The 17,917-nt window shown below is 51.5% G+C and overlaps 1 protein-coding gene and 1 pseudogene across 19 annotated transcripts in view, besides 5 other annotated features; one reads left to right on the forward strand and one right to left on the reverse strand.

The window, feature by feature from the left end:
• RDM1P5 (RDM1 pseudogene 5) overlaps window positions 1-12,169 on the forward strand; it is a 34,940-nt pseudogene extending 22,771 nt beyond the window's left edge. The window contains exons 5-6 of one of the 2 annotated variants that reach the window (NR_174975.1): window positions 6,670-7,317; window positions 11,114-12,169. The product of NR_174975.1 is annotated as an RDM1 pseudogene 5, transcript variant 2 (transcript). Of the gene's footprint in view, window positions 1-14; window positions 1,663-6,669; window positions 7,318-11,113 lie in introns of those variants that run through there. The other variant, NR_036551.2, reaches the window with a different exon arrangement.
• Window positions 1-17,917, reverse strand: part of PLXDC1 (plexin domain containing 1) — an 89,655-nt gene that overhangs the window by 16,477 nt on the left and 55,261 nt on the right. For 14 of the 17 annotated variants that reach the window (XM_047436434.1, XM_047436432.1, XM_047436435.1 and 11 more), the window contains 2 exons: window positions 7,818-7,913; window positions 3,670-3,751 (listed from right to left, as the gene is read on the reverse strand). In XM_047436434.1, the coding sequence (XP_047292390.1) occupies window positions 3,670-3,751; window positions 7,818-7,913 (178 nt within the window). Of the gene's footprint in view, window positions 1-1,620; window positions 1,661-3,669; window positions 3,752-7,817; window positions 7,914-17,917 lie in introns of those variants that run through there. The other 3 variants (XM_047436428.1, XM_047436427.1, XM_047436439.1) reach the window with 2 other exon arrangements.
• Window positions 989-1,048: an enhancer, noted in NCBI's record as "active region_12086". NCBI's record gives its function as "activates an Ori minimal core promoter by ATAC-STARR-seq in GM12878 lymphoblastoid cells {active_cell/tissue: GM12878}" and the evidence as "EXISTENCE:reporter gene assay evidence [ECO:0000049][PMID:35858748]".
• Window positions 1,229-1,298: an enhancer, noted in NCBI's record as "active region_12087". NCBI's record gives its function as "activates an Ori minimal core promoter by ATAC-STARR-seq in GM12878 lymphoblastoid cells {active_cell/tissue: GM12878}" and the evidence as "EXISTENCE:reporter gene assay evidence [ECO:0000049][PMID:35858748]".
• Window positions 3,679-4,179: an enhancer, noted in NCBI's record as "H3K4me1 hESC enhancer chr17:37239721-37240221 (GRCh37/hg19 assembly coordinates)". NCBI's record gives its function as "activates a minimal SCP1, AML or CMV promoter by ChIP-STARR-seq in primed H9 embryonic stem cells {active_cell/tissue: H9 hESC(primed)}" and the evidence as "EXISTENCE:reporter gene assay evidence [ECO:0000049][PMID:30033119]".
• Window positions 7,518-8,018: an enhancer, noted in NCBI's record as "H3K4me1 hESC enhancer chr17:37243560-37244060 (GRCh37/hg19 assembly coordinates)". NCBI's record gives its function as "activates a minimal SCP1, AML or CMV promoter by ChIP-STARR-seq in naive and primed H9 embryonic stem cells {active_cell/tissue: H9 hESC(naive and primed)}" and the evidence as "EXISTENCE:reporter gene assay evidence [ECO:0000049][PMID:30033119]".
• Window positions 13,215-13,284: an enhancer, noted in NCBI's record as "active region_12088". NCBI's record gives its function as "activates an Ori minimal core promoter by ATAC-STARR-seq in GM12878 lymphoblastoid cells {active_cell/tissue: GM12878}" and the evidence as "EXISTENCE:reporter gene assay evidence [ECO:0000049][PMID:35858748]".

Consider the following 17,917-nt stretch of genomic DNA (forward strand, 5'->3'; position numbering starts at 1 on the left):
CTCTTTGGTGCTAGGGGAACCCACCAAGCCCTACTCAAGCCCAGGGATGTCTGCATGGGAAGAATAACATCATGAACCACCAGTGCCAAGAAGGAATTCTCAGCAGGTTAACTGCACCAGCACCCACTGAGGTTTGGTGAGGCCAAGGGCCAAGGCTTGCCAGGAGCTGTCAGTCTTTCCTTCTGCAGATGCCTCTGGGCTCTGAGCTGCTCCTCCTGCAGCAGGGATGGCTGAACTGAGCCAGCCACACTCTCCTTCTGTCAGGTCCTCTATGCCCACTACTTTGGGGGATGGAGGATTAGGAAGGCTATTGGAGGCTGAGAACTAAAGTTTCTTTTAGGGCTGGGTGTGGTGGCTCATGCCTGTAATCCCAGCGTTTTGAGAGGCTGAGGCAGGAGGATTGCTTGAGCCCAGGAATTTAAGGCTATAGTGAGCTATGATGGCACCACTGCACTCCAGCCTGGGTGACAGAGCAAGACCCTGTCTCTTAAAAAAAAAAAATAGTTTCTTTTAGACTGTGCTAACTGATTCTTTCAAAGATTGAGCCTTTGGTATGGGTTTATGACCCCCATTTCTGGAGCTAATCCTGGAATTAACATTACCCTTAGACTCCAGAGTGGGTCATGGCGGGGCGGGGGCAGGCAGGCATCTGCCGTGAGAGACGAAATTGTTTAAATCCATTCCAGCCCAAGAGCAAGGAGAAAAGCTCTGGGAGGCTGTGAAAGGCAAAGTGGGTGGAGGGGAGGGGAGCAGAGAACCATGCAGGGACTGACTGCAGCTGTTGGCAGAGAGACCATGTCAGCTGGCCCTGCCCTCCGGGTTTTTAGGGACCTAGGTTCAGCTCTCAGTTGCAGCTGAGGCTCCAGAGAGCTTGTAAGAAGGGACAATGTGCAGGAGTGAGCCCAGGCCCATGGGGCGCCTGGGGATGGGATGATTTTCAGCCTGCACCAGCCATGCTCCCCCAGGTGGAGTTTCTCTGTGCTCCTCTTTGCTGACACAACTCCTGCAGATGCACACAGTCAGAGGCCTTGCCCTTCCCCCAGCCTGACCAACCTCCTAATGTTGAGGAGGGCTCAACCCTCATTTAACTCATAGTCTCTGAATTTGGGCATATGCTTTAAATGGGGGTTGTGTTGATGGGAGAGTTTGGCTGTCATCTGACCCATTTTGCAGTTCTCATGGCTCAGCGCTTGTGAAAGCTGAGTCATGTGGTGGCAGCCAGCCCCAGGATCCCAGGGCTCATCTGAGGCCATCTCTCCATTGCTTAGACCATGGTTCTCAAATTTGAAAGTACACAAGAGGGACCACTTCAAAAATCAGATTTCTGGGATCCTGGTTCCAGAGGATCATATTCAGTGGGATGGGGCCCAGGAATCTGCATTTTACAAGCCCTCCAGGTATAAGGAGAGCCTCACAGTCTGCAGACTATTCTGCAACGCTCTGCTCCAGGAAGAACCAACCTGGGGTCTATCCTACATATTCTTTCTGAGGCTCTGTGAGTCTCATGCGAAGGATGCTGAATGCTTTGTAAAAATGCTTCTTGCGGCTGGGCGTGGTGGCTCACGCCTGTAATCCCAGTACTTTGGGAGGCCGAGGCGGGCGGATCATGAGGTCAGGAGATCGAGACTGTCCTGGCTAACACGGTGAAACCTCATCTCTACTAAAAAAAAAAAAAAAAATACAAAAAATTAGCCAGGCGTGGTTGCAGGCGCCTGTAGTCCCAGCTACTCGGGAGGCTTAGGCAGGAGAATGGCCAGAACCCGGGAGGCGGAGCTTGCAGTGAACCGAGATCGCGCCACTGCACTCCAGCCTGGGTGACAGAGCGAGACTCCGTCTCAAAAAAAAAAAAAATGCTTCTTGATATCTTGATAGCCTGGGTGCAGTGGCTCACACCTGTAATCCCAGCATTTTGGGAGGCCGAGGAGGGCAGATCACTTGAACCCAGGAGTTCAAGACCAGCTTGGCCAACAAAGTGAGACCCCATCTCTACAAAATATTAGAAAAATGGCCGGGTGTGGTGGTGTGCACCTGTGGTTTCAACTACAGGGGGGACTGAGGCAGGAGGATTGCTTGAGCCAGGAGGTTGAGGCCACAGTGAGCTGTGATTGCACCACTGCACCCCAGCCTGGATGACAGAGCAAGACCCTGTCTCAAAACAAAACAAAAACTGCTTGAGGAGTTTAAATAACAGTGTGTTTGTTCCCACATCTTCCTGAATCACATGACCCCAGCCCATTTTACAGGGTAAACAATCTGAGGCCCCAAGAGAGTGAATAAAAGCACAGCTGGTGGGAAGAACACCTGGGAGACCTGATGGGCACACCCCATCCCCTCTGGGCCCAGAGCTGTGTCCTGTGTGCTAGGCAGGCTGCCTATAAAGGCGAGAACTTCTACATTTGCAGCAGGATATTGGAAAGGAGCAAAGGAATCCTGGAATTAATGTTACTCTTAGACTCCAGAGTGGGCCATGGTGCAGAGGCAAAGGAAATCACTGGGGCCGGGGCAGTGGCTCACGCCTTTGGGAAGGCCGAGATAGATGGATTACCTGAGGTCAAGAGTTTGAGACAAGCCTGGCCAAACTCTTGGTTTGGTGAAACCCCATCTCTACTAGAAAAATACAAAAAAATTAGCTGGGTGTGGTGGTGTGTGCCTGTAATCCTAGCTACTCAAGAGGCTGAGGCAGGAGAATCGCTTGAACTCAGGAGGTAAAGGTTGCAGTGAGCCAAGATCACACCATTGTACTCCAGCCTGGGCAACAAGAGCAAAACTCTCTCAAAAAAAAAAAAAGCACTGGAAAGGAGCATTGGAAAGGAGCAGCACGACAGCTGCACAGGAACTCAGAGACTATAATTTAGCAATTTTCAAGATTGCCTTAAAAGCCCTTGGAGTTCATAGGACTTCCCACTCTCATGAGAACTCTAGTCCCCAAGGAAATCTTTTTCTTCCCCCTCCTCCTGTCATTTATTTATCTTGGACAGGGAACAGAGCTTGAATGCTGAGTCTAATCTGTGAGGAAATGATTTCAGAACAAGGAGTGGAAGAGGAGATGGATTTAAGAACATTATCACTGAAACTGAATCTCACCCAGAATTTTCTGAGCTTCTAAAAGCAAGCAAACACAGCTTTTTAGCTCTCCCAACTTTCCATGGATGCCTGTAGTCCACACCCCTGGTCTTCAGAAAAATCCCTTGCAGCCCAAGAAAGATCTTGAGGTGGTGTTTTGGGGTCATGGGTCTTTGGACCAGACTTTGTCTCTGAACTGGCAGTTCTCACACTTGTTTGCAGATGAAGCATGATGTTAAAATGCAGCTTCCTGGGTTCTCTCCCAGAGATCCTGATACAGAGGGTCTGGGATGGGTCCCAGGAATCCAGTGTGTTTAACTGGAGCCCAGGGTCTAATGCCCACAGCTGTGGAACACTCCGAGAAGCCCTGTTCCAGGATGAACCCTCTCCTCCTGGGTGTGAGGAGGGAGCCTGAGTAGCTGGAATCCCTAAATGGTCTTCCAGAAGCCCCCAGGCCATGTTCTTGTCCCAAGAGTCAGAGTGGTACTGGCCAGAGATACTCTCATGTTGGCTGACTGTGGGCAGTGAGGCCAGGACGGGGCCATGCCACCCTCTTCCCCTCCACAGTCGGCCAGTGGGAGTCAGCAGGTAACCCTGGGCACAAACCTCTGGAGGACATGGCACCAGCTGCAGTTGAAGGTCAGGTCTGAGGACATGCAGGCGTCACAGCTCCTATGCTGCAGGCAGGCTGCAAGAGAGAAGGCAGTGGCCGCTCAGCACCGAGCCTCTCCTTGGGCTCCAAAGGGTGCAACTCTGAATTCCTGGTATTTACAGAACTATGGAGCCCCTGACTTTGAGGAGACCTTTAAGGTCATTAATGCCACCTCCCTTGGTCCAGTCTAGCCCCAATTCCTAACTTCTTTTTTTAAGGGATGAGGTCTCGCTGTGTTGCCCAGGTTGGTGTGTGATGACCTGATCATGGCTCACTATAGCCTCGAACTTCTGGGTTCAAGTGATCCTCCTGCCTCAGCCTCCCCACCATCTCTTCCTCCCTCCCTACCTACCTTCCTTTTTTCCTTCTTCTGTCCCTCACTCCCTTGTTCCCTGCCTCCCTCGCTTCCTCCCTCCCTAGCTTCCTTCCTTCTCACTAGAAGGTCAGGCCCTAAACTGGGTGCTGGGGATTCAGCAGTGAGACCTAGTCCCTGCCTTCTTAGGGCTTAGACTCATATGGGGACACAGACACTAAACAGATAATCAAAAATCACTACAGAATTAGAACTGTCACGAGGTCTATGACGGCAAATCACAAGGTGCTGTAAGTGTGTACAAAGGAATCTCACCTAGTCGGAGACATTATACTTTCAGGTGTGTATCCCACAGTCAAAGGGTTGAAAGGGATTTTTTAAAGGTCAGAGCATACAAAGTAGCAGGTATGTAGGATGAACAAGGCTAGAATCTACTGTATAACATGAGGACTGTAGGTAATAAAATTGTACTGTATGTGGAGTTCATGCTAAATGAGTAGATTTTAGCTGCTCTTGCCACAAGAACAAAAAATCTAAGGGAACTGTGAGATGATGGATATGTTAACTGCTTCATCATGGTAACCATCTCACTGTCTATATGCATCCCATAGCATCATGCTGTATACCTGAAATATGTACAATAAAAGTTATTGTTTTAAAAGATGCTCTGGTTGCCCCCAGTGCTTGTTGGGGGCACTCACTGCCCACTCCTGATGTTCGGTCCATGGGGAGAAAACAGCTCTCCTGGGAGAGAAGAAGTCAAGGCAGAAAGGTCCCATGTGCAGAGCCGAGAGGGGAACGGCCCAGACGTGATCCCAGCAGCAGCCAGAACTGCTACCAGGCTGCACAGAGTGAAGGGGCTGGAATTAGTACGAATGAAGAGGGAGCGACAGCTGGGGCCCAGCCTGGGCAGGACAGAGCCAGAGAACAGAGAGATTAGTGGGACCAGGTTGCTGGAGGGCGCGTGAACCCTTCTGGCACAGGCCAGGCACAGGAGCAGCAGGGCAGGGGGCGCAGTAGGCACGGGGGCTGGATTTAAGAGCTGTTCACTTGCAATCCAGTGCTACTCACTTGAATGAACCAGATGACCTCTGAGCGGCAAGTAGCTGTCACAAAGCCCGTATATTTGATTGCAAAGAGAGACAGGCACTCACCCAGAACAACTGTGTGCAGAAGGGCTTATCTTATAAGCAACAGAACAGAACACCTTGATAGCCACAAGAAGTGACAACTAACAACAGAAAAATGACCACTCATTTGATCAACATTGCATGTGTTTCTTCCTGTGTGAATTCTCATGTGATCCATTAACTCAGGAGCCAATGTGCATTACATGGAGCCCCAGCAAGATGGCAGCTGGGAACCAGCCCTGGGTGAGTGGGAGAGAGGCTGCATGGGCACAGTGTGGCCACCTTCAGTCACTCTGGGAGGGACTGGCAGTGGGTGGCACTGTGTCCTTTTGTCTGCCGTGGTGTTGAAGGCCCTGGGAGAGTGGATGGAAAGAGCCATGGGCAGGAAAGAAGCAGGGGCTGCCCTGTGCAGGAGGATGAGCACTCTCTGGCTGTTTTGTTCCCTGTGTATCCAGAGGGTCTGGAACAGTGCCTGGCACATGGTATGTCGAATCAATATATAAGTGCTCTTGTTATCCCCATTTTATGGAGGAGGGAACTGAGGCTTGGAGAGAGTCGTGGAGCTGACAGTGAGAGGTCTGGGTTTGAACCAAGGTCTGTTTGAACATAGAGATCGAGCTCTTAGCCTTGAGGTCTCACTGTGGGTTTCCCCTGCCCCTTCCTCAGCTCTCACTCCCACCCCAGGCCACTTTTTTATGGGTCTCTCCTAGAAGAGGGACCAGGAGGGACCAGCTACAGAATACGATGGCTTGGAGATAAGCCACTCACCCCTCTGAAGTAATCTGGACAAGTCCTTCCCACACCCAAATGGTAAGGGAGAAGCCAGGGGATACAGAGAGTTTTCTCCCTATCTGGTTTCCCAGGGGCTCAAATCACAGCCTTGATAGCATTACCCCTCCTTCACCAGCTGCTTCCAGGTGGGAGCCCTGCCCTTGCCTTTCCCAGTGACTTTGGAGGCCCCTTAAAAGACTCCAGTCAAACTGGCCACAGAGAAACTCCTGGGATCCTCCTGGGGTATTCATAACACCTACTGACCTTTATTTCTCATCAACATTTCAGATGGCCTGAATGCTATTAAATGCTCACAAAATTCACCGGAGGGGTGAGAAGTACCTTAAATGTACAGTGTCCCAGAAATGCATTCCCAAAACATTTCACTGCTTCCACCCAGGCAGTCAGCCCTGCCCTTGGATGTCCTTGCTCCTAAATGCAGTTTTATCCACATCATAGAGGCTAAGGTTTGCTCTCACCAGTCCTCGAGGAACCCTGGTTCTCAGGCCCTGAGCCTTCTGCCCCGATGGAGAGTGATAGGGTTGGGGTATGGCTGTGACCTCTAAAGTGTCCCAGCCCTGTGACCCCTAAAGTGTCCCAGCCCTGTGACCCCCTGGTGTCTGAGTCCTTTCTGTTGTCCAGGGAAAGACACCTGCTGAGCCCTGTCTGAGACATGGCCTAGCATTTGAGAAGATCCTCCCTCCTTCTCTTCCTCTTCCTTCTCCACCCCCTGCTCTCAGGACCTCCAAGGAAGAGGAAGCAGGGGTAAAGAGAGGCAAGAAATGCCACTGAAGACCGGGCATGGTGGCTCATGCCTGTAATTCCAACACTGGACATGGTGGCTCACGCCTGAAATCCCAGCACCAGGCGTGGTGGCTCACACCTGTAATCCCAGCACTTTGGGAGGCCGAGGTGGGTGGATCACTTGAGGTCAGGAGTTCAAAACCAGCCTGGCCGACAGAGTGAAACCCTATTTCTATTAAAAATACAAAAATTAGCCGGGCATGGTGGCGGGTGCCTGTAATCCCAGCTACTTGGGAGGCTGAGGCAGGAGAATCACGTGAACCTGGGAGATAGAGATTGCAGTGAGCCGAGATCACACCACTGCACTCTAGCCTGGGCAACAGAGTGAGACTGTCTCAAAAAAAAAAAAAAAAAAAAAGAAGAAGAAAAAGAAGAAATGCCACTGAGGCAGGGAGAAGGCCATGGCTTCAGCAGGAAGCTGGGGGCACCACAAGATGGGAGAGGAAATGAAGACCTTCATAAAACAACAAGAAGGAAGATGCTGTACTCCTTCCCGCAGTCTCAGCTGTCCCAGCCCCATCCCGAAGAGCATCCACCGCGGATCCTGTGGGCTCCACAACAGCAGGTGGCTGCCTTCAGCATGGGTGAGTGGGGTGCAGAGGGCCAGGGTCCCATGGTTTATGGAGGCCACCTGCTAAGTCCCTCCATTGCCTCCTGCCTGTGGACCGCAGCATCACCTCCTCTAAGGAGAATACAGTGACAAACTGAGGCCCGTCTAGTTCCTGGATCACCTTTTCTGGGGGCTCAGTCTAGGCGTTCTCAGAGGTACAGCTTTCCCGGGTTTCAATTATGTGGGAATAACAATAGCTGTCCTAGATCAAGCCCTAACCCCCACCCCAAACCCAGAATGGACCCATCAATGTCAGAGCTGCGGCCGATGTGCTCAACTCCACCTAGGTGGTTCTCACCCTTACCCTATCTCTGGGAGGGAGGTGGCATCAGGCTCGGGTTACAAAAGAGAGATGGAGGGCCCCGAAAAGTTAGGTGGCTGCACAAAACAGGAGTCAGTCATGGGCCTGGGACATGAAGCCAGTCTGCTTGACTCCAGAGCTCTTTCTGGGATGGCGGAATGACCCCTACTCACTCGGCAATGGGGTGAACTCCACGGCCGACATGCTGGTGACCTTGCTGGGGTCCAGCTCTATGCGGTGATATTCAAAGATGCTCCTTCGCCGAGATTCTGAAACAGAGGCAGAGCCTGTTGTCAGGAGCATATCACAGGCAGAGGGCATCGAGGCCTCTTCCCGGACAGTCTGACAGGTCAGCCTGCTGCACTGAAGGCAGTAAGTGCACCCAGCAGCCTGGGACAATGATGTTGGCGCTGCTGGAGACAGGGACAGGTGCGGACCTGGAGAGGAGAGTGTTGTGGTGTGAGGCTAAGTGACTCAACGCAGAGACCTGGCTGCTCTTGGGGGCAGGACAAATGGGATCCCATGCTTGCTTCTCCTTGCCTCTGCGCCTTCACAACTGCTATTCCCCTGACCCAAGATGTTCTTCCACCCCTTCTTCCTGTCTAGCTCATCCTTGCAGATCTAGCTCAAGGGCCACTTCCCCTGAGCAGCCCTCCTTGGCCAGCTCCCTCCTCTGCCTGGCTCAGGCCAGGTGCCCCCCTCCCACTGCACTCACCACACTGTGGACATGAGGGTCTATTTGGAGGCTGGGGATGTGTGAGACCATGATCATCTGGTCCTGAACCTCGCTGAGTGCTCTGTGAATGTCTGCAGATGGACAGGCTGACTTTTGCATGTTGCTGTCCACCATCCACCTCACCCCTCCTGGACAAATCCCCCAGCAAGGCTCAGGGCTTGCAGCCAGGCTCGAGTCCTACTTTGGTCCCTGCAGAAACTTCTCACAGGACCTCAGAGTCAGGAGATCCAAGTTCGTTCTAGTTCTGCTCACGACTTGCTGGATAACCTCAGGCAAGTCATTTGGACCTCAGTTTCTTGTCTGTGGAGTGGAAAGACAGAAACACCTACCACAACACCCTTGGGAGGAAAAAGCTGGAACTGTACATGAAAGGCTTCTTTTTTAAAATGACAATCTGAGGTGCTCTGATACTTCTCTCTAGGCCACGATACCCACCCAGGAACCATGACTTGGGGTTGGTTTTCTTCAATTTTGAAAGGCAGGCAGCCCAGCCAGGCATGGTGGCTCATGCCTGTAATCCCAGCACTTTGGGAGGCCGAGGCAGGTGGATCACTTGAGGTCAGGAGTTCGAGACCAGCCTGGCCAACAGGGTTTTTAGTAGAAACCCTGTCTCTACTAAAAATACAAAAATTAGCTGGGTGTGGTGGTACACGCCTGTAATCCCAGCTACTTGAGAGGCTGAGGCAGGAGAATCGCTTGAACCTGGGAGGCAGAGGTTGCAGTCAGCTGAGATTGTGCCACTGCACTCCAGCCTGGGTGACAAGAGCAAGACTGAAAAAAAAAAAAAAAAAAAAAGAGAGAGAGAGAAAAAGAAAGAAAGAAAGAAAGAGAAAAAGAATAGAAAGAAAAGAAAGAACGGAAAGAAAGAAAAGAAAGAAAAAAGAATAAGAAGCAGACAGCCAGGAATTGAGCTTTGAGAATGAGTTACCCCACAAGAGGAAAGAACCACTCAGTGTTTGGTCCGCCCAACACCCTTTCGTCTTCTGGAAACAGCAGCATTCCCCTTGGGGTACTGTGCCTGGCCCATTCCTACAGGTGGGCTGAACCACAGCTGCCATCTTCTTCCATGATCCTGCCTCTCTGGCCACGCTGTGATTGTTCCAGGCCTGGGTATCGGCTGTGAGCTGGACCAATCAGAGACCTCCCCTGGGACTTTTCAACTGTAACCAAGAGGCCTTTTGCTGTCTGGTAATGAAGCTGAGAAGATGCAGGCTCAGAACCTGTGAATGGCCACAGTACCGGGCTCATGGGGAAAGGCAGAGAATGAAGCCACCTCATGGAGAGAAACAGGAAGTGCTGGTATGTTCTGGGCCCTGGGGTTCCAGGACCTGCCCCACTATTCAGCTCTTCTTTTGGTTCTTTGGGCTACTTCAGTATCCTCCGTGCACCCCCCTTTTCCATTTAAGCGAGTTTGAATTGGGTTTTCGTCACTAGAAGTAGGTGGGGACATACGTTTCTCGCTCGGCTGAAGGTGGTTTGGAGGAAAATTTCCCAAGGTGGCAGAAGAGCTGAGTAGGGGCATCCACAAAGGGGTGGGCGTCCCGTGCCACTGCTGGGTGCCCCACCCCCACATCCCCTCCTATGTAAGGAACCTAGAGGAGCTTTGTCCATGGTTCACATAGTATCTCATTATTTATTTACTTATTGAGACTGAGTCTCGCTCTGTCACCCAGGCTGGAGTGCAGTGGGATGATCTCGGCTCACTGCAACCTCTGCCTCCCAGGTTCAAGCAATTCTCCTGCCTCAGCCTCCCGAGTAGCTGGGATTACAGGTGCCCACCACCACACCTGGCTAATATTTTGTATTTTTGGTAGAGAGGGGGTTTCACCATATTGGCCAGGCTGGTCCCAAACTCCTGACCTCAGGTGATATGCCTGCCTGAGACCCCCAAAATGCTGGGATTACAGGTGTGAGCCACCATGCCTGGCCTGTATCTCATTATTTATTTATCCTTAACGTTGGAATTAGTCCCTCCTACTTAACCCAGGACTGCGCCCCCGTGGGTCTGGCACCAAAGCATGCTCTCTTCCCAACACAATGCCCTGCTGCAGGACACTTCAGCCCCTGAAACATTCAAGACCTTGGAATGTCATTCCATGCAGTGAAAAGAAGACTACTCTGGCATTGGTGTCAATAAAGATTCCCTGGAGCTGAGCAGCATCTACATCCCTGAGGCCTGTCTGAAATGCTGGTGCCCCCCACTCCCATGCCACTAGGAGGGTGCACCTGCTACCCACAGGCCAGATGCTGCTCCAGGCCGAGTGGAAAGGGGAAAGCAGATGGGGGCACTGATGAGAGCATGGAGGAAAAGAAGCTCGGCCCCCGGAGGGTGACCACACAAGGAGAGGAGGCTTAGGGTTGCCGCAGCTGGGCAGACAGGCTCTGCCCTTACCGCCTGTGTGACCTTGGACAAGGGACTCAGTGAGCCGCATCCACACATGGGGCTGGTGATGCCATGCAAATGGTGTTGTCCTGAGAATTAAGGGAGACACTCAACGCACAAGGACCCCAGGAGCCCTCGAAGCATGTGAGCCCCTTTTCTCTCTGCCCCGACTGCTTTTTTGCTGTTCTTCTCATGGCTGAGACTCTAGGGCATTTTCAGCCTCTTCTAACCCCTCAAAGTCCACCTTAAGCAATGTTTATAAACTTGAACATGAGGAGGAAGGATGGCACGCATTGCTTTCTCTTTCCTGTCCTTACTCTGTCTTTCTCCCTCTGTCTCTCTCTCTCTAGGACGGCATATTTCTTGTCAGCAAGTCTGATGGGTCCCCCAGTTCCCCGCTGCTGTGGAGAGAGAGGAGGCCCACAGAGGCGGCCTGACCGCGGTACTGTGCTGGCACTCCAGACGCCCTGTTCCCACCCGTCATCCTGCAGGCCTCTCCTCTCTTCTGCTGCCCCCACAGTCCAGGCTGCCTGCTTCTCCTGCTGTGGATGCCACTGCCCCCACCCTAGCTTCCCCTTGTTTCTTCCTGATTACTGTTTCTTGCTTTTGCCACCACTGGAGAATGAGGTCATGGGAGCAGTGGGGGACGGCAGTGCTCAGGTGGTGAATGGACTGGGGACCCTGGAGACTGAGGTGAATTTCCCACGCCCCCTCTGAGGGCTGCTCAGAGAGTACTTATCTTGGAATCCATCTCCCCGCAACACACACCCACTGACTCCCATGGGGAGAGGCAGTGGAGAGGACTTTAGCCTTGGTCTTCCTTTCCTACCAGGAGGATGACAGCTCCAGCCCTGCAGCTCCTTCCTTCGCCCGACTCCTGCACTGGAGCCGGATGGTTTAGAATGAGATCCAGGCCTCCTCCCACGTCTCCCTCCCTTCCTTCCATCCCAGGCAGATCAGGGAACTTGCTCCTCCTCAGGAAAGCAGCTGGACAGAGTGGGTGGGATGAGGAGTCCAGGTGGTCCCCAAGGCGAGCACTGCGCAGGTGTGGGCTTTATGAGAGAGGAGATGAGCTACAGCTGCAGAGACTCAGACATATCAGGTTGAGAGAGCAAGGGAGTTAAGAAGTCAAGTTGGCTGTACACCTGTAATCTCAGCATTTTGGGAGGCCGAGGTAGGTGGATCACTTGAGGTCAGGAGTTTGCAACCAGTCTGGCCAACATGGTGAAACCCCGTCTCTACTAAAAATTTAAAAAATTAGCCAGGCGTGGTGGTGAGCACCTGTAATCCCAGCTACTTGGGAGGCTAAGGCGGGAGAATTGCTTGAACCCGGGAGGTGGAGGCTGCAGTGAGCTGAGACTGCACCACTGCACTCCAGCCTGGGCAACAGAGTGAGACTCTATCTCAAAAAAAAAAAAAAAAAAAAAAAATCAAGTTGTCTTGCCATTCATTCATAAGTGGGGAAACTGAGGTTCAGACAGATTAACCCATAGACAGATACAACTTTGTATAGCACTTTACTTTTTCATTTATTTATTTATTTAGAGACAGGGTCTCGCTCTGTCACCCAGGCTGGAGTGTAATGGCGCAATCACAGTTCACTGCAGCCTTGACCTCCCAGGCTCAGTAATCCTGCCTCAGCCTCCCAAGTAGCTGGTATTACAGGCACACCCCATCATGCCTGGCTAATTTTTGTATTTTTAGTAGAGATGGGTCTCCCTGTACTACCCAGGCTGGTCTCCAACTCCCGGGCTCAAGCAATCTGCCTGCCTCAGCCTCCCAAAGCGCTGAGGTTCTAGACATGAGCCACCACACAGGCCACATCTCTTTACAATTTACCAAGCCTAGCCATTAAGTAGACGGAAAACATCTACTTAAACGAGAAAACTACAAGAGCACAGCGCCACCATGCAGCACATTTGTTGACTCCTTCAGCATGTCGGTGCAGACACCTGCTCTGTGCAGGGGCTGTGCTGAGTGCAGAGCACTCTGTTAGCTCGCAGCCTTGCAGGTTCCCTGGAGCTGCACCATCTCATTTCCCCTTACAACTTCCTGAGGTGCACAGACAGACATCGCTGCTCTCCCCACTTTACAAAGGAGAAAAGTGAGATCGGAGAGGGGACGTTATTTGCCCAAAGCCACACAGTCTTTGTTTTAAAATCAGAGGCTAGACTTTTAAAAAACCTCAGGGCTGGAAGCCACTGTGGCTCCAGAAAGTCACCAAAGTTGTGAGTGCAGATAAATATTTAACAACTGCCTGGGGGCTGGGGTGCAGGTAGGGGCAGAGGAGTCCTGAATTGCCGTTGTTGCCAATTTCTGTGGTGTAAATACTTCCACGGTAGCTGACTTCCAGCTACCCTTTCAAAAAAGTTACTGAACATGGAGTTAGGAAGAGACATGTTCAGTTGCCTCTCACCCAGCTGCATACATGATCTCCAGCACACCCCTGCTGAGAGCTTCCTGATTTGTGTTTCTAAAAGAGTCAAAGGGAAACATTTACATTTCTTTCTTTTTTGTTTTGTTTTGTTTTGTTCGAGACAGGGTCTCACTCTGTTGCCAGGCTGGAGTGCCGTGGTGCAATCACGGCTCACTGCAGCCTTGGCTTCGTGGGCTCAAGTGATTCTCCCACTTCAGTCCCTGCCCCCAGCTCCACCTCCCCCACCAAAGGCTCATGCCCTGGTAATTTTTTTTTATTCTTTGGTAGAGACAGGGTCTCCCTATGTTGCCCAGGCTGGTCCCAAACTCCTGGCCTCAAGCAATCCTCCCGCCTCCAATTCCCAAAGTGCTGGGGTTACAGGCGCGAGCCACTGCGTCAGGCCACATCTCTTTACAATTTACCGAGCCCAGTTGTTTATTTAAAAATAAAAACATTTATTTAAAAATTACGGGCACAGTGGCTCATGCCTGTAATCCCAGCACTTTGGGAGGTCAAAGTGGGCGGGTCACCTGAAGTCAGGAGTTTGAGACCAGCCTGGCCAACATGGTGAAACCTCATCTCTATAAAAATACAAAAATTAGCCAGGCATGGTGGCACGCGCCTGTAATCCCAGCTACCCGGGTGGCTGAGGTAGGGGAATCGCTGGAACCCGGGAGGCAGAGGCTGCAGTGAGCCGAAATTGCACTATTGCACTCCGGCCTGGGCGACAGAGAAAGACTCCGTCTTAAAATATATATATATATATATAAAATTAAGCCAAAATCCAAAAGATGGAATGACTGTGTGTTTGTCTCCTAAAGAACCCTAAGTCTGAGAGAGGAGGCCCCGTGGCAAGCCTCGTAAATATCAGGCAGTAACTGCCGGGTGTCTACAGAGTCACTGTGGCTCTAAGAGGAGGGAACCCTCCATGGAAAGCTGAGGTGGCGAGGGGTTCACAGAGCCCCGCACACGCATGTGCACACCCCAGCCCTCCAAGACACACACACACCTGCACATGAGCACATACTCATATGCACACACATATGCAACCCTTTGACACAAGAAAGACCCTTTGCCAAGCCCGAGTGGGATCTGACAGAGATTGGAGGATGGGCACCTTTTTGTAATTCACATGCCCAGAGGTGGCACCAAGGCCACCTGTGCTGCAGGTGCCCCTGAGTGATGCCAATGGCCATGAGAAGGTGGCCTGGGCTCTGAGTAAGCCTGGGGGCCTGGGAATATCTAGATGAGGATGGAAAGTTTGAAGCAGACTTTCACACACCATCCCCACTCATTACTCCCAGGGGCCATCTCTCCTTCCCCTTCAGCACCAAAACGCAATGGGATCAAAAATAAACATGAAACTCCAAGTCTCCCATGTCCTGACTTCCAGGGTGCCTGAGGCCATAGGTTCTAGAGTCCAATGTCAACCTTTCTTGCTTCAACTGCCTCATACTTCAAGACTCAGCTCAAATGACGTCCCCTCCTTGAAGACTTCCCCCACTCTCAGGCAAAGTGACTGCCCCCCGACCCGGCCCCACTCTGAGTCTACAACTCCCTGAGCAATGTCCAGTGTCCCCCATTACATCGCTTGGTCAATATCTGCTCTCCTGGCCACTCCCGCAGCCAGACCACAAGCTCCGCTAAGACAGAGTCTGCATGGAATTTATCTCTGTACCTCATCCCCTAGCACCAGGCCTTGCACTTAACAGGACCTTAAGAAATGACTGTGAGTGAATGAATGGGTTACAAATAGTCATGAAAACCTCAGCAACTTATAACGTCAGCCCACAGCCCAAAGGAAGCACGCCCTCCCTCCCCAGCCCACCACAAATTACTGCCATTCTCAAAAGGACAACCCTGAAAGACCACAGTAAACCAGACATGCCGCCTCCTAAGCTAGATCTCAAAGCGGGAGGAGAGCTGGCTTTCAGGATTTCTCCACCTGCAAGGCTGCAGGGCAGAGCTTTCCCTCATCAGAAGGAAGGGGAAATGGGAGGGACAAAGGGACTCAGGGTGGGGCACAGATAGAGACTCAGACTTTTCAAGGGAACTGAGTTCGAGGATAGAGACACAAGTGGCAGCCAGGGAAGCCAAGTCTCCTAGAAACTTCACACCAGGCTCTAGGGATGGGTTTCCCCACCATCCGGGCTGGGGGGCAGAGTTGGGGATGTGCCCCAAGCATGGGTGCAGCCAGGGATGCCAGCTGTCCTCTGAAAATACAGTCCTTCCAGCGGAGTGGGGGAGGCTGAGTGGTGGCAGAAAGGGGGATGAGGGTGGGGGGTGGAACTATATCTCTAATTGAAACTATTTGCTCACTTCAACTGCCAGCTTGTACTTGTTCGAGTGTGGGTTTGGTAATATTTTTATTTTTTTAATAAAAGAATCCTTACGCCCCGCCCCCCCCCCCCAACCCCCCAAGCCTGGGTTATTTGTTTTGGATTGTTTCACCAACATCTGGAGCTTGCCCAAGACAATGACTTCCATCTCCATGACCAACAGATCCTTTCTGGAACCAAGACGCAGGCTTCCCCAGAGCACCATTTCTGGCAGTTTAAGGTGTTCTGTTTTATCTCTGCTTCCAGGCATCAAAGATTCAGAAATACTCAGGTCCAGACTTGGCAAACACTGCTGCCCAAACAAGAAATGTTTTTGTTTTTTGTCTTTTTTTTTTGGCGGGGGGGTTGTTTTTGTTTTGTTTTGTTTTTGTTTTTGAGACAGGGTCTTGCTCTGTCGCCCAGGCTGGAGTGCAGTGGCACAATCTCAGCTCACTGCAGCCTCCACCTCCCGGGTTCAAGCAATTCTCCTGCCTCAGCCTCCCGAGGAGCTGGGATTACAGGTGCCTGCCACCACACCTGGCTGATTTCTGTATTTTTAGTACAGATGGGGTTTCACCATCTTGGCCAGGCTGGTCTCAAACTCCTGGCCTCAAACGATCCACCCGCCTCGGCCTCTCAAAGTGCTGGGATTACAGGCGTAGCCACCATGCCTGGCCCCAAACAAGTAATGTTAATGGTTCAAGTGAGAGGTTTGCATGTCCCTTTGTGTTTCAATGCCAGATGCCCATGGGAGAGTGCTGGCTTGGCCAGAAGAAGTTAGGAGATGACAGGTCGATCCACAAACTCCCACCTGGAATGGGTGGTTACCGTATAAAAAAATCTAAGAGGTTGGGTTGGGAAAAAGTCTTCATGCATTCTTTTGTTCCTTGGCTCATGTGATTATTCATTCAATAATCACGAGTGGAGCCCCAGCAGGGGACCCTGCCCCACGGGGGAGAAGTAGGGGGGTCCCTCAGCATTGAAGCAAAGCAGAAAAAGGCAGAGAAAGAAGAGGCCAGAAATGACTCAGGGAGCAGAGTAGTGGGAAAAACAGAAGTGAGAAGGGAAAAGAGGGAAGGATGGGCCCCCAGATGGATTAAAAACTTCCAACGAAGGGCACTTTAAAGGATCCTTTATCAGAAAAGGCAAAATTGGCCAGATCCTCAGCTTCTCCCTGCACCCACTTCCTCACGTGGCTGCCCCTAGATCCCTTCTGTAGCCTGCTCTGGGACCCACCCCTCCCTTACCTGCAGCCTGGCAGGAAGGTACACACAGCTCAGGCCCTGACATATATCTGGACTCAAGTCTGCCTCGGAAAGGACAGGAAAGTTCCGGTAAAGGAGGAGGACCAGCATGTTGGGGCCGTCCAAGGCCATTCGGGGCCAGCCAAGGGGCAGGCTACATTCTGGAGCTCTTTGTAAGAAAATCCTCACTAACTGATCCCACTAATTCAGAATCCCTGTCAGTTTCGATGTTGGCAATGCTAAAGTTGCTTTTATACTAACCATGAAATAAAGAGTTTCTTAAGCAAATGAACAGAGGAAATAATATTGACTTCCGGCGGTCTCCCCAGCCACATAGCGGATACACTGTCCTGTGTGTTTTGAGTGCCTCTGCAAACAGATGCTGCTAATTGCACATGACTTTTCTTTTCACCAAAGATGCTTTGCAGACTCTGCTGAAAAGCCTGCGGAAGAGTTTATACGAGGAAGTACTGGTAAGAACTCTTGTGGTTTTCAGCCTCTTCTACCCTCTCCCCCAGGAGTGAGGCTGTGAGGAGTCCTCCCCATTGCACCTCCCATCCCCTTGCCTAGCAGGGGTGGGGAGGAAAGTGTTTAGAACCTGGGGGAGGAGAGTTTTCCCCAGACAGGGTTCAGTGGCTGGGGATTCCTAAATAGTGAGGAATCAAACTCCCCTCCTCACACTGCCCCAGGCAGGGAGCAGTCAAACCTGGGCACAAGGACAGTGACGCCACCCATTCTGTATGATCAGGTGGGCTTGGTCAATAGGATTATCCATGGTGATCATAGGGTCTGCAGACCAGATGGCTCTTCCTGAACTTCTGTTTCCTTTAAGCCATGATCATTTGGGGTTTACTATTACCTGCAGCTCAACCTAATCCAAACAAATTCCCTGCTTGCCGGATTGAATGTGAGACCCAAAGTCATCTGACCCCTTAGCCACATAAAAGCCATTTCTCCCCAGGAGCAGAGGCTGTGGCCCATTTTAAACCCCAATGAGGGCCATGGATACTGTCCCAGAAAAACGCATGGATGTGAACATGTTCCACTTGCATTTCAATACTCCACATACAGGCCTTACACGGTGGCTCACATCTGTAATCCAGTGCTTTGGGAGGCCAAAGCCAGAGCATGGCTTGAGCGTAAGAATTCAATACCACCCTATTTTATTATTTGTCT

Source organism: Homo sapiens, chromosome 17, assembly GCF_000001405.40.
Source record: "Homo sapiens chromosome 17, GRCh38.p14 Primary Assembly".
Classification (NCBI taxonomy): domain Eukaryota; kingdom Metazoa; phylum Chordata; class Mammalia; order Primates; family Hominidae; genus Homo; species Homo sapiens.